This window comes from Homo sapiens, chromosome 7 (genome assembly GCF_000001405.40).
Source record: "Homo sapiens chromosome 7, GRCh38.p14 Primary Assembly".
In the NCBI taxonomy this organism is placed as follows: Eukaryota; Metazoa; Chordata; class Mammalia; order Primates; family Hominidae; genus Homo; species Homo sapiens.
The window spans coordinates 76,221,229-76,235,588 of NC_000007.14; the positions used below are offsets into that span (position 1 = coordinate 76,221,229).

A 14,360-nucleotide genomic window follows, 5' to 3' on the forward strand; every position below is an offset into this window, starting at 1 on the left:
TGTATTTTTAGTAAAAGAGTTTTGCCATGTTGGCCAGGCTGGTCTCGAACTCCTGACCTCAGGTGATCCACCCGCCTCAGCCTCCCAAATTGCTGGGATTACAGGTTTGAGCCACTGGGCCTGCCCTCCTCTTTTTTTTTTTTTTTTTTTTTGAGACGGAGTCTCGCTCTGTCGCCCAGGCTGGAGTGCAGTGGCATGATCTCAGCTCACTGCAAGCTCTGCCTCCCAGGTTCACACCATTCTCCTGCCTCAGCCTCCCTACTAGCTGGGACTACAGGCGCCCACCACCACGCCCAGCTAATTTTTCATATTTTTAGTAGAGACGGGGTTTCACCGTATTAGCCAGAATGGTCTCGATTTCCTGACCTTGTGATCCACCCGCCTCGGCCCCCCAAAGTGCTGGGATTACAGGCGTGAGCCACCGCGCCCCGCACCTGCCCTCTTCTTACCCGTCTCTACTGGTCTCTACTGGTCTGTGTGGGTTTGTATCTGTGAAAAGTACCATGATTGGGCTATGAGTGTTTGTAATGATTTAAAATGGTAATTATTGACCTGATCTGTTCTGATTTATATGGATCTATATTTCCTCCTGGTCTAACTCATGCCTGTAATGGTTTAGACTGATTGGCATAGTTCATGGCTGATAACAGCTAACACTTAATGCATAGAGCTTATCGCCTACCCAGGCACTGTACACACGTTATTCCTTTACTCCTTACCCTGAGGTGCGGGTACTTATATTAACCCCATTTTACAGATAAGAAAGAGGTTAAGTCACTACGCACACATAGTAAGTGATTTGAACCCATCTGCTACTGGCTGATCGGCACGGGTCTGTCTTGGTTCATGTGGACTGGGTTATCAGTTATCCTTTAAGGGCCTGAGGGCATCAGGTTGCAAGAGAGAGTTGAGCACAGTGGCTCACACCTGCAATCCCAGAGCTTTGGGAGGCCAAGGCAGGAGGGTTGCTTGAGTCCAGGAGTTAGAGACAAACTAGTGAGACCCTGTCTCTACAAAACTTCTAAAAACTAGCTGGACATGGTTGTATGCACCTGTGTGTAGTAGTGGCCAGCTACTTGGGAGGCTGAGGTGGGAGGATCACTTGAGCCCAAGAGGTAGAGGCTGCAGTGAGCCATAATTGTACCACTACACTCCAGCCTGGGTGATAGGAGACCCCGTCTCAAAAAAAAAAAAAAAAAAAAGTTGCAAGAGAGATCTTTCCAAAATGCAAATCTGACCTCCCCAGCTCAATACCCTTCACTGGCTCCCTATTGCCTGCAGGGTGTGGTCCTAGGTCCTCAGCCTGAGTCTGAAGGCCCTGGGGACCTGGCCCTCCCTCCCCTCCTGGCTTAGTGGGCTCAGCAAGACAAGCCCATGTTTTGTTTTGTTTTTTTAATTTTTTTAATTTTTTGAGATGGAGTCTCCCTCTGTCTCTCAGGCTGGAGTGCAGTGGCGTGATCTTGACTCACTGAAACCTCTGCCTCCTGGGTTCAAGCAATCCTCCTGCCTCAGCCTCCCAAGTAGCTGGGATTACAGGCACCCGCCACCATGCCTGGCTAATTTTTGTATTTTTAGTGGAGACAGGCCAGGCTGACCAGGCTGGTCTCGAACTCCTGACCTCCAATGATTCTCCTGGCTCAGCCTCCCAAAGTGCTGGAATTACAGGATTGAGCCACCGCGCCCAGCTTCAAGTCCATGCTTTTCCCTCTTTCCTCTCCATGCCTTCTTCCTGCTCACCCCCACACCCTGACCAGGACATCCTTCTCCTCCTCCTTTGTCCCGCCAACTCCTACTTATGCTTCAAGATCTCTCCTCCAGGGAGACCTCCTAGCTATGCTCCTCTCCTGACGCACCCCAGCTGTTAGATGTCTCTGCCATGCATCCATCATCCCCAGCATGATAAGCACCAGTGCTTCTCCTTCTGCATTTCTCTCGTGTCCTCTGGTGAACCCCAGAGTAGCCACTCACAAATAGCTGTGACCTGAATGAATGACCCAACCCTGAAGTTGATGGGGTGTCTCTTGGTCCTCTGGTCCTTACCCCCCCAGCCCCACGCTCTTGGGCAGTGAGCACAGGGGAAGCTTTCAATATAAAGTGTTCAAGGCTGGAGGTCTGCAGAAGGGTCCTTACACAGGGAAGGGAAGGGTCAGCAGGAGAGTGCTCCAGGGAATATGTCCCTGTCATGGCTGCACCTGGCTTCAATGCCAGGATTTGGAGTGGGGACACACCTAGATTCCTTGGACATGATGCAGATGGCTTTTCTTTTCCAGCTTGATAAAGTATCTTGACAAACGATTGTTGCACACACTTATTTTTAACAAGACCCAGAATGAGTTTCACAACTTAAGGACCTGGTTTCATGGGTATTTATCAGTTCTGTCTCGTTTCTGACAGTTGGAAAGAATCTTTTTCCTCAGGAGGCACATCCTTGCCCACCTGCTGTCACCACACTGGGCTTTTTCTCTGGAAGGTCTCATCCTGCGTTTGCAGCCACCACCTTCACAGGAATGCAGTTTCCTGGATCATAAATTCCATTCCACTGTAGCCCTCTTAGCCAAGGGTCCCTGGATCTTAACATGCCCTTGGCTTTTGCCTTCCCTTCCCTTCCCTTCCCTTCCCTTCCCTTCCCTTCCCTTCCCTTCCCTTCCCTTCCCTTCCCTTCCCTCCCCACCCCTTCCCTCCCCTCCCCCAACTTGCCCCCCTCCCCCTCTCCCTTCTCTTCCCTTCCCTCTTTTTTTTTTGACAGAGCATCCCCTCCCCTCCCCCCAATTCCCCCTCCCCTGCCCCCACTTCCCCTCTCCCCTGCCCCCACTTCCCCTCTCTCCCTCTCCCTTCTCTTCCCTTCCCTCTTTTTTTTTTTTTTTTTTTTTGAGACAGAGTCTTGGTCTGTCCCCCAGGATGGAGTGCAGTGACACGATCACAGCTCACTGCAAGCTCCGCTCCTGGGTTCAAGCGATTCCCCTGCCACAGCCTCCTGAGTAGCTGGGAGTACAGGCGCACACTGCCAGTCCTGGCTAATTTTTTGTATTTTAGTAGAGACCGGGTTTCACCATGTTGCCCAGGCTGGTCTCAAACTCCTGAGCTCAGGCAATCTGCCCACCTTGGCCTCCCAAAATGCTAGGATTACAGGCATGAGCCACCGCGCCCGGCCAAAGACACATCTTTCAAAGGCACATGTCTAACATCATTCTCTTCATGAAACCTTCCCTGACCATCCTAGGCAAAGGTAGAGCCTCCCTGGTCTCTTTTTTGCTCCTGCAGGACTGGGTGGGTGGGTGGGAGAATGGCATCAGAATCTCTTCATAACAAGCCTGTTACCGCAAGAAAGGATGAATGAATGATCCCACTAAGCTACAAGCTACAAGACTAGGGAATATTGTCTCCGTCGAGGTATTGCTCCTCACAAGAGGGTATTAGCTACGAGGGTCTGCCCACAGACCCTGACCCAAATGATGAATAAAACGTACACTGATACACAGAGATTCTGTTTTGCCAGTCCTGCTGAGTGACCGCCTACACACCAAGAGAGGTTTGTCACTGTGGCCGCCCCGATCAGCTAGGGAGACTCACATTTATTCATTAAGATTAGTTAACAAAAGCTTGAGTCAGCGCCATTAGAGGTAATTGACATTGAGGACTTCCCGAGTAAAAAGCACACATCAAAGGCTCGTCTTGAGACCACATGAGTAAACAAGTTAACTAGATAACTTCCCCACATCCCGTTATTTACTACTCTAATCTATTTAACTGAAGGTAATGGGACCAGCCCACCTTCGCCCCGGTCTATTACCGAAGTCATGTGAAAACCCTCAGGCCTTCCGAAAGGGTTTTGTGGCTATCATAACTAATATTTTTTCCACCAGCCTGACCGAATCCCAACACTCCATTTTACAGATGAGGAAACTGAGGCTCGGAGAAGTTTAATGACTTTTCCTGATCACCCAGGCAGAAGTAGTGGAGCCAGAATTTAAGCTAAAGTCTTCTGACTCCAAGTCCTTGTCCTGGTCTAACACTCTTTTTCCTGGCCCCAGTAGAAGACAGCAGAAAGATCTTAGAAGTAAGAAGGTGGTTAAATTGTGTGACCACAGACGAAGTGCTCAAGTGCTTACTTGAAGCTGTGGGAATCTGTACCTTTGAGCGTGTGGAGGCTCTGAGTCCTGACATTACCTCTGGGGAGGCATGCCTCTGGCTGGCAAGGCCAGGAAAAAAAAGCCCCTAGAGGAACGGTGCTGCCCCCCTCCCCGCCCCCCCCGCCCCTTTCCCCGGCAAAAGAGGCTTCTCAGCCCCGGCAGCAAATGGGGCCCCCTGAACTGGTGATGGGGGTGCTGTCCGTGGTGCTGGAGGACTGCGACGCTGCCAGAGACAAGGGGAGCAGGGAGGAGTTTGCTCACTCCTGTAATCCCAGTGCTCTGGGAAGCCAAGGCGGGGGATCACTTGAGGCCAAGAGTTTGAGACCAGCCTGGGCAACAACGTGAGACCCTGTCTCTACAATAATAATAATAATAATTAATCTCCAGTGCCTTTTACGAGACATTCATTGCATACTAGGTACTGTGAGGGCATTTCCCATGCATTAGTCCTTTACAACAAACCTATGAGGAAGATGCTATTATTAAATAGTTTCATTTTACAGGCAAGGAAACTGAGACCCAGAGAGTTGAAGTCACGTGCCCTAGGTCTCTCAGCTTATGAATTCCCAAAGATCACTCTCCTGTCTCCCTCTCAAATCAGGGGTCCCCAGGGCAGGGCTGGGCCTCTTCCCAGACTCATCTGTGGTCCACTTCTCACTACAGCCCATTCCCTCTCCCCCAGACCTGACCAGGTCACTACGATCTGAGCATCTTCTCCCTCTGAGCCCCAGGGTGAGTGCTGACCTCATTAGCTAAGAGGCCTCTGTGCCTGTCAGCAGCTGACTTTCCGAAACAGGCTGGACCCTGCAGTACAGATGAGCTGTTTCACCTTCAATTAATCACTTGCAGGTAGCAGCATCCAGTTTGTGGCCCACTGTGTCCACACCCAGGCTTGCTCAGGAAACCCAGGCTTGGGCTTGTGGGAGGGAGGCAACTCCAGGGACCCAGCCAGGAGGCTGGGAAATCAGGCCTCTAGGCTTTTAACCACTTCCTGGCTTGTAGAAGAAGGAGTGTGCCCCTTTGGCAAGCATTAAACTAGGGCTTCATGACTTAATCTACACATGGGTTTGGCTGGCTCCAGCATCTGGGCTTGCCCTTGGGAGCTGACCCAGTGCTGGGGACAGCCTCAGTTGAACTCTAAGGGTGGCCGGTGGGGCCCCGGCTCCTGGCTGTATCAGCAGAAAGGAAGTGGGCTGAAGGTCTGGTGTTATTTATTTATTTATTTATTTATTTATTTATTTTATTTTTTGAGATGGAGTTTTGCTCTTGTTCCTCAGGCTGGAGTACAACGGTGTGATCTCAGCTCACTGCAACCTCCGCCTCCTGAGTTCAAGCAATTCTTCTGCCTCAGCCTCCCAAGTAGCTGGGATTACAGGCATGTGCCACCACACCCAGCTCATTTTTGTATTTTTAGTAGAGACAGGATTTCACCATGTTGGTCAAGCTGGTCTCAAACTCCTGGCCTCAGGTGATCCACCTGCTTCGGCCTCCCAAAGTGCTGAGATTACAGGCATAAGCCACCACACCCAGCCTGGTGCCACACACTTAGAGTTAGTATTACCCAGACTTCCAGAGTAGGAAAGGACCCTTGGGGTCTTTGAGTCATTGTTCAGTGGGAGAAACAAGGGTGCAGAGAGGGGAAGGGACTTGTTCATGGTCTCACAGCCAATCAGTGGTAGGGTAAAGACTTCCCATGTGCTGCTCTCAGCCAATCAGTGGTAGGGTAAAGACTTCCCATGTGCTGCTCTCAGCCAATCAGTGGTAGGGTAAAGACTTCCCATGTGCTGCTCTCAGCCAATCAGTGGTAGGGTAAAGACTTCCCATGTGCTGCTCTCAGCCAATCAGTGGTAGGGTAAAGACTTCCCATGTGCTGCTCTGCCTCCAAAGAAGTACAGTGTCAATGCCCCCAAAGACCAGAACAAGTTAGAGTTAGGGTTCAGATTATAGCTCTAGACTCCATATCTGCCTGCTTGCCCCTGCAAACCCCTCACCCTCAAGCACCTCCAATTTGTTCTCCGTGTTCCCCATCACAATAAATGGCTGCACCATCCACCTGGTCACCCAGGCCAGAGACCCGGTGTCATCTAAGCTGCCTCCCCCATCCCACATCCAGTCAATTACAAACCCTGCCAGATTGGCCCATTTATTTCTTGAATCCTGGTTGTCCTCACTGGCTCTGGCAGCCCTGCCTCCTGCTCCCTCCCAGCCTTGCTGGGAAGCCTGCCTTGACGAACCAAGCAGGGCTACAGACACTTCTCCAGTTCTCTTTTATCACACTATGCTGCTGTTTACCTGTCAGTCTCCTGAACCAGCCTGTGAGCTTCTACAGGGCCATGATGGGGTCATGTTCATCTCTATACCCACAGCCTTTAATAACGTGAGGCCAAGAGTAGATGTTGGGTGAGTGTTTGTTGAGTGAATGCTTGAATATCGTTTCTATCTCATGTTTGAACAATTCCTGTAATAGGGACCTCATTCATCCTACGACAAACTGCTTAGTTTTGTTTTTTGTTTTTCTGTTTGTTTTTTGAGACGAAATCTCACTCTGTCACCCAGGCTGAAGTGCAGTGGCGCAAACTCAGGTCACTGCAACCTCCACCTCCTGGGTTCAAGCTATTCTCATGCCTCATCTTCCCAAGTAGCTGGGATTATAGGCACGCACCACCACATTCAGCTAATTTTTGTATTTTTAGTAGAGACAGTGTCTGACTATATTGGCTAGGCTGGTCTCGAATTCCTGACCTCAAGTGATCCACCCGCCTCTGCCTCCCAAAGTGCTGGGATTACAGGTGCAAGCCACCACACCTGGGCAGAACTGCTTCATTTTTAAAGAGTTTTGATTATTATAAAATAAAAACAAAACAAGACAAGACTCTTTTTTGAACTGAGCTGAAATCAACACTAGATGACTTGCCTGTGAGAATCTTGGGGCTCTGTTTTGCAGATTGGCTAGGGCCTTGCTCCTCTTAGGGAATTCTAAGGACCAGTAGTATTGGTGTTACTTGTTAGAAATGCAAATTCTCAAGCCCCACTCCAGATCTATCAAATCAGAAACTCTGGGGGCGAAGTCAACAATCTGTGTCTTGCTGGGCGCGGTGGCTCAAGCCTGTAATTCCAGCACTTTGGGAGGCCGAGGCGGGTGGATCATGAGGTCAGAAGTTCAAGACCAGTCTGGCCAACATAGTGAAACCCTGTCTCTACTAAAAATACAAAAAGTTAGCCGGGTGTAGTGGTGTGCACCTGTAATCCCAGCTACTCAGGAGGCTAAGAAAGGAGAATCATGTGAACCTGAGAGGCGGAGGTTGCAGTGAGCTGAGATCGCACCATTGCACTCCAGCCCAGGCAACAGTGCGAGACGCCGTCTCAAACAAAACAAAACAAAACAAATCTGTGTCTTAACAAGTCTTCCTGGTGATTCTGATGCCCAATAAAATTTGAAAATGGCTATTTCTAGACCACTGCCCACCTCCCCCTAATTTGTGGTCCATACTTGGGCTATATCAGGAGAACCTGGGGGACGTGAGCAATTTCATCCCCAGAGACTTTTTTTTTTTTTTTGAGACAGAGTCTCACTCTGTCACCCAGGCTGGAGTGCAGTGGCATGATCTCTGCTCACTGCAAGCTCTGCCCCCTGGGTTCACGCCATTCTCCTGCCTCAGCCTCCGGAGTAGCTGGGACGACAGGCACCTGCCACTACACCCGGCTAATTTTTTGTATATTTAGTAGAGACAGGGTTTCACCATGTTAGCCAGGATGGTCTCGATCTCCTGACCTCGTGATCCACCTGCCTTGTCCTCCCAAAATGCTGAGATTACAGGCATGAGCCACCGCGCCCAGCCGAGACTTTGATTCAGTAGATCTGGGTTGGATTCCAGGTAGAACTGACATATGAAATATAGGACACTCAGTTAAATTTGAATTTCAGATAAACAACGGATAATTTCTTAGTAGGATTATGTTCCAAATATAAAATTCAAATTTAATTTAACTGGGTATCCTGTGTTCCTATTTGGCAAATCTGGCAATGCTAGCTAAACATCACTACTTCTAACAAGCCTCTCAGTCGATTCAGCCAGGTTTGACCTAAATCCTCTACAATCCTTCATATATTTGAAGCTAGGCATTCTGACCACCTGTATATTCTTATAATCTTCCCCCTCCTTGGCACCCTATTTTTGTTGATATATCCTAAGATAACATGCATTTTTGGCATCCACATTGTGATATTGACTCAAATTGAGTCTGTGATCATTGAAAATCCCTATAATCCTTCCCAAATATTCTGCTTCTGAACTATGTCTACCCCATTCCAATTTTAGTTTGGGACCCAGCTTCAGAATGTGGCACTTTTCACTATCCTGTTTCACTTTCTTCTTCTTCTTCTTTTTTTTTTTTTTTTTTTTGAGACGGAGTCTCGCTCAATTGCCCAGGCTGGAGTGCAGTGGTGCGATCTCGGCTCACTGCAATCTCTGCCTCCCAGGTTCAAGTGATTCTTCTGCCTCAGCCTCCCGAATAGCTTAGATTGCAGGCATGCACCACCATGACTGGCTAATTTTTGTACTTTTAGTAGAGACGGGGTTTCACCATGTTGGCCAGGCTGGTCTCGAACTCCTGACCTCATGATCTGCCCACCTCAGCCTCCCAAAGTGCTGGGATTACAGATGTGAGCCACTGCACCTGGCCCTGTTTCACCTTCTTAGATTCTTCCAATGTCTCCGGCTACTGAGTCCTTTTAGATTCTGACTGTATATCCATGAGCCCTCTCAGGCTGTGTCCTCAGTGAATTTGATTGTCAGACTACCAGTGTTCTATCCAGTCAATAGTGAACATATTGGATCAGATGTGGTGAGAATAGAGCCCTGTGATTCTCCACTAAATACCTACATCTAACATGACATTGATCCATTAACCAGCTCCTTTTGAGTATAGGTCAATCAATCAACCAATTACAACAAAATGGGATATTAGCACCCACCAGGACAGTGTCACCTTATGAAATCTCACAGTGAGGCCAGGCGCAGTGACTCATGCCCGTAATCCCAACACTTTGGGAGGCCGAAGCAGGAAGATCACTTGAGCCCAGGAGCTTGAGAGCAGCCTGGGCAACATAGCAAGATCCCATCTCTACAAAAAAAAATTAAAAATCGTCTGGGCATGGTGGTGCACCTGTAGTTTCATCTACTTGGAGGCTGAATCAGGAAGATCACTGAAGCCCAGGAGGTCAAGGCTGCAGTGAGCTATAGTCACGCCACTGCACTCCAGCCTGGGCAACAGATTGAGAGTCAGGAAGGGAAGGGAAGGGAAGGGAACAGAAGGGAAGGGAGAAAGGTAAGGTAAGGAAGGGAAGGAAGGAAGGAAGGAAGAATAAATCTCACAATAATTTCTTTTACTTACTTTTTTTTTTTTTTTCAAGACAGAGTCTCACTCTGTCGCCCAGGCTGAAATACAATGGCACAATCTCAGCTCACTGCAACCTCTGCCTCCCAGGTTCAAGCGATTCTCGTGCCTCAGCCTGCTGAGTAGCTGGGATTACAGGCGCCCACCATCATGCCTGGCTAATTTTTGTATTTTTAGTAGAGACGGGGTTTCACCATGTTGCCCAGGCTGGTCTTGAACTCCTGACCTCAGGTGATCCACTCACCTCAGCTTCCCAAAGTGCTGGGATTACAGGTGTGAGCCACTGCGCCCAGCCTCACAATGATTTCATAAAATATAATGTCACATGGCTCACAGAGGGACCCTGTGCGTGCAGTCCTGCAGTCACCCCCTGGTCTGCTGGCCCAGCAAACCTGACTTGGAAGGAAATGGGCTTAGTGTGCAATGATTTGGGTCATTCTATTAATGACCTGCTGCAGATTCCCACCTGGTGCCTCTCCAACTCACCAGGTGAAATTGGTCAAATCCACCATCTGTTCTAGTGAAAATCCAGACTGCATCTGCCACGCCCCTCTTCACATAGCTCTCCTTTCCTCCTCAATCATTTCTGCAACGATTACCCTGGGCAACCTAGCATTGCTACCCAGGCGTTCTCCTAGCACTGGGGCTAGATTTTCTCAGGGTTTGGAGATCTGAGTGCATTCAGAACGACTCTCACCAGCTTTCCGCCTCTGCCCTCCAGGAGCTCAGGCCAAGTTCTAGGCTGGGGAGCCTTGCCCAGGTCAGAGGGAAGATGTGCGGAACAGCATGGCTCCCAGGGCTCTCACCCGCGCCTTCGCGCTCTCTCCACACCTTCAGCGCGCCTCTTGCATTGCCTGGTGCTGGGGTAGGCTCTAACGAGCCAGAATGAAAGGACGGTTCCCTCCCCTAAAAGGGCTCACAGTTTAGAATAGGAGTTACAAGCAAACAGCCAACTGAATCTCGGTATCTAAATATCGCATTTAAAAAGTGTGGACAAAAGATGCGGAAGCACAAAGAAGGAATGACTCATCCTTCCTGGAAGAGCGGAAGATTCCCAGAGGAGGTGATTTTTGGGCTGGGCCCTGAGGGATGAGTTGAAGTTCCCTAGGTGAAGAAAAGGGGAAACAGGACTCCAGCGGAGGGGAAACACATAGGCAAAGGCACAAAGGAGGAAGTAAGGGCATGCATTTGGGGGATGAGGACCAAGGCTAAGAGGCTGGGTGTTGGTTGCAGGATGGGGTGCAGCATGGGATGAAGTTGCAAGATAGCATTCGACAGAATGCAAAGGGGTCTTGCAGGCCGTATCAAGGACCATGCCATGTATTCCTCTCTCTTGCCTCCTGTTGTCACGTCTTTGTTCAGCCCCGGGCGCATTGAGCTTCACATGCACTAGGCGCTTAGCTGGAGCTAGGAGTTGAAAGCTAAGCTGCCCTCAGCCCAGGGGGAGCCAGACCTTTGAACCCACAGCAACAACAGCGAGAACTCTGGGAGGTAAGGCCAGGAGTGGTGGCTCATGCCTGTAATCCCAGCACTTTGGGAGGGCAGATCGCCTGAGGTCAGGAGTTCAAGACCAGCCTGGCCACGAGGAGGGCAGATCACTTGAGGTCAGAGTTCAAGACCAGCCTGGGCAACATGGTGAAACCCCATTTCTACTAAAAATACAAAAATTAGCCGGGCAAGGTGGCAGGCGCCTGTAATCCCAGCTACTCAGGAGGCTGAGGCGGGAGAATCACTTGAACCCAGGAGGTGGAGGTTGCAGTGAGTCAAGATTGCACCACTGCACTCCAGCCTGGGTGACAGAGTGAGACTCCTTCTCCAAAAAAAAAAAGAGCTCTGGGAGGGTGACACCAGCCAGAGGGGAAAGGAAGGCTTCCGGAAGGTGATAATGCCTATGAGCGGTGACTTTGAGGACAACTAGGAATGAAGAGTATCCCAGGAAAGGGCCTGGAGCCAAGAGAGGTAGAGGAGGATGTGTGTGGTGCGGAGTGGTGGAGACGGGGCTGGACCAGGAGGCAGGGCCATGTTACGGCTTTAAGCCAAGGTAACAAGAGTCACGGGAGGCTGCTAACCAGGGCATGACATGGTCTAATTTGCTCCTGGACCCGTCTGCCAAGTTGCCAATGGAGGATGAAGGTCTGGGAGCAGGGAGGCCAGGCAACCACAGAGAGGCAGTGGACCTGCATGGAGGGAGGAGCTTGGGTCCACGTGGTAACAGGGGAGGAGAGGAAGTGGATAAATGTGAGCGATGTTGAGAAGAAGGGATGGGGCTGGGCGCGGTGGCTCACGCCTGTAATCTCAGTACTTTGGGAGGCCAAAGTGGAAGGATTGTTTGAAGCCAGGAATTCAAGACCACCCTGGGCAAAATAACAAGAACGTGACTCTACAAAAAAAAATTCTTTGTTTTAATTAGCTGGGTATGGTGGCACATGCCTGTAGTTCCAGCTACTGGGGAGACTGAGGTGGGAGGATATCGCTTGAGCTCAGGAGTTCAAGGCTGCAGTGAGCTATGACTGTGCCACTGCACTCCAGCCTGGGTGATAGAGTGAGACCCTGTCTCAAAAAATGAACAAAGAAGAAGGGATGAGGGACCCAACTTGATGACAGGTGAACTGTTGTGGGTCAGGTCAATAGGGGTCTCCAAGCTCCACACATGTCCCTGGCTCAGATGACCAACAGATAGAGGGGTCACCCATGAGCCAAGCACTGCAGCCGAGGTGGGTGGGGAGCAGGGCACCCGGAGCTCTGTTTGGGGCATGGTGGGTGATTCTTGTGGAGTGTCCTGGGAAAACCCCTGGTGGAACTGGGGTATAGGGCTGGTCTCGGGACAGAGGCGGGAAGCCAGCAGGTGTGGGAGTGGAAAAGAGGGGTTAGAAGAACAGCTTTGGTCTCTGAGTCCCCAGGCACTCCCCTCTCCAGAAGACTCTGGCAGATGCTCCCAGGAACAGGTGGAAATCAGAGGCTCAGAGAGGGGTAGTGACATCTTCAGGGTCACACAGCAAGGAGTGGAGAAGCGCAGCCTAGAACCCATGCACTTGGGACTCAGGGGGAAGGACATATGAGAAGAGCTTATGTTTTCATCACCGCTGTTGCCTCCTGTCACTCTGTCCCCTTCAGAGCCTCCTGTAGCTGTCACAGTCCCTCTCTCTTCTCTGCCTTCCAGTTTCTGTGGCTCTGAACACTCCCACCCCCATCCCATCACTCTGAGGCCAGAGAGGGGAGGGTGTGTTGGGGGAGAAGTGTCACAGGGAAGGCCCGATCCAAGATGTCCAGGCATACCCAATCCCTTCTTTTCCTCCCTCCCTCCTTCCTTTCCCTCCCTCCCACCCCACTCCCTGGGAATGAGGCCTCCCTGTTGCTTAGCAACTAGCAGATCCTTGGAGAAAGGAAATGGAAATAGCTCAAGAGGTGCCTCCCCTCTGTTAAGATAGAAGTCCTTGGAGTGTGTGTGTGTGTGTGTGTGTGTGTGTGTCTGCTCTACTTTGGAGGGCCTAGCATGGAGTCAGGGATTCTTAGCTCCAAGCCAAGTTGACTCCCACCCCACCCCGAGCCTACAGGAGGACGTGGCTGCCTGGAAAGCTAATGTCAGTGTCAGCTTTGGTCACGTCATCAGAAGCAGTGTTTCCAGAACAAAGGAGGGGATAGTCTTGTGGGCCCAATCTGGGTGAGCCCCGCTTATCTGGAATGTTGGCTTTGGAGAAGTTGGCCAGATCAAACAGAGAGCTAAAATCTGCCTCTGGGGTGGGAATAGAGTAGGCTTCCATCTTCCCCTCTCTGTAGGGCTGCCCTGGGAGCAGACTGGGAGGTAGGAACACATGTAATCTGTGTGCCACTGGACAGAGCCAGGATAGTGGGCCTGGTGTGTGCGTAAACAGTTTCAACTGAGCCTAAAGGAGAAATATGACTGGGGAGTTAATGATGTGTGCAAGCGGGCGCTGGGATGTCTGGCCCAAGCATTCGTGCAAGCCAGAGAGGATGGTCCTCGGTAGTTCCTGGAGGTGACACGATTCCCAGCCAATGGCTCTTAGAGGCCATCCAGTCTGGCCTGCATCCACCCACCTTACAGATGGAAAAAGCCCAGTGTCCAACCCACTCGTGCCCTGAGGTGTGACCCAAAGGTGCAAACCAGCCGTCCGCTTCCCTCTGCACCAGGAAAGGAAGCGGATTAGAGCCATGAGTGTGCCCTTAAATCTCCAGGATTAACTCCAGCAGAGAGGAGCTTAACAGGTGGCGAAGAAGTGACCATCCCGCCTCGTGTCTGTGTCTGTCCCTCAGGGCCAGCGGCCCAGGCCAGCGGCTCCAGGGCCAGCCACGATGTCCTCCACCGTGAACAACGGGGCGGCCAGCATGCAGTCCACACCCGACGCCGCGAACGGCTTCCCGCAGCCCAGCTCCTCCTCGGGGACCTGGCCGCGGGCGGAAGAGGAGCTGCGCGCCGCGGAGCCGGGCCTGGTGAAGCGCGCGCACCGCGAGATCCTGGACCACGAGCGCAAGCGGCGGGTGGAGCTCAAGTGCATGGAGCTGCAGGAGATGATGGAGGAGCAGGGGTGAGCAGGCCGCGGGGCGGGACTGGGGTGGGGAGATAGGCGGGGCGAGGGTGGGAGAAGCGAGTGATGCTGCACGTGGGCGTGGCGAACGTCGTGGGCGGGGAGAAGGGCGGGGCTAGGGGCTATTAGGGCGGAGTCGGGCGACTGTGGGAACCCAAGAGCCTTGTCCAGACAAGAAGCCAGAGTTCAGACCAGTTGGGGTGAAGCCATGGCAAGTCCAGCTCATCTTTCATTTATGTATTAGGTTGTTGCAAAAGTAATCACGGTTTTTGCCATTACCTTTAATGGC

At 51.2% G+C, this 14,360-nt stretch overlaps 1 protein-coding gene across 2 annotated transcripts in view, besides 5 other annotated features; it reads left to right on the forward strand.

Moving 5' to 3' along the window:
* The window catches only part of SRRM3 (serine/arginine repetitive matrix 3), an 85,392-nt gene that overhangs the window by 19,333 nt on the left and 51,699 nt on the right, over positions 1 to 14,360 (forward strand). For both annotated transcript variants that reach the window (NM_001291831.2, NM_001110199.3), the window contains exon 2: positions 13,800 to 14,071. In NM_001291831.2, the coding sequence (NP_001278760.1) occupies positions 13,839 to 14,071 (233 nt within the window). In that variant the 5' untranslated portion in view covers positions 13,800 to 13,838. The remainder of the gene's footprint in view (positions 1 to 13,799; positions 14,072 to 14,360) is intronic.
* Positions 1,562 to 2,062: an enhancer, noted in NCBI's record as "H3K4me1 hESC enhancer chr7:75852108-75852608 (GRCh37/hg19 assembly coordinates)". NCBI's record gives its function as "activates a minimal SCP1, AML or CMV promoter by ChIP-STARR-seq in naive H9 embryonic stem cells {active_cell/tissue: H9 hESC(naive)}" and the evidence as "EXISTENCE:reporter gene assay evidence [ECO:0000049][PMID:30033119]".
* Positions 3,401 to 3,905: an enhancer, noted in NCBI's record as "NANOG hESC enhancer chr7:75853947-75854451 (GRCh37/hg19 assembly coordinates)". NCBI's record gives its function as "activates a minimal SCP1, AML or CMV promoter by ChIP-STARR-seq in primed H9 embryonic stem cells {active_cell/tissue: H9 hESC(primed)}" and the evidence as "EXISTENCE:reporter gene assay evidence [ECO:0000049][PMID:30033119]".
* Positions 4,250 to 4,450: a silencer, noted in NCBI's record as "peak6610 fragment used in MPRA reporter construct". NCBI's record gives its function as "represses an SCP1 promoter by STARR-seq MPRAs in K562 erythroleukemia cells {active_cell/tissue: K562}" and the evidence as "EXISTENCE:reporter gene assay evidence [ECO:0000049][PMID:32103011]".
* Positions 13,815 to 13,874: an enhancer, noted in NCBI's record as "active region_26193". NCBI's record gives its function as "activates an Ori minimal core promoter by ATAC-STARR-seq in GM12878 lymphoblastoid cells {active_cell/tissue: GM12878}" and the evidence as "EXISTENCE:reporter gene assay evidence [ECO:0000049][PMID:35858748]".
* Positions 14,045 to 14,114: a silencer, noted in NCBI's record as "silent region_18307". NCBI's record gives its function as "represses an Ori minimal core promoter by ATAC-STARR-seq in GM12878 lymphoblastoid cells {active_cell/tissue: GM12878}" and the evidence as "EXISTENCE:reporter gene assay evidence [ECO:0000049][PMID:35858748]".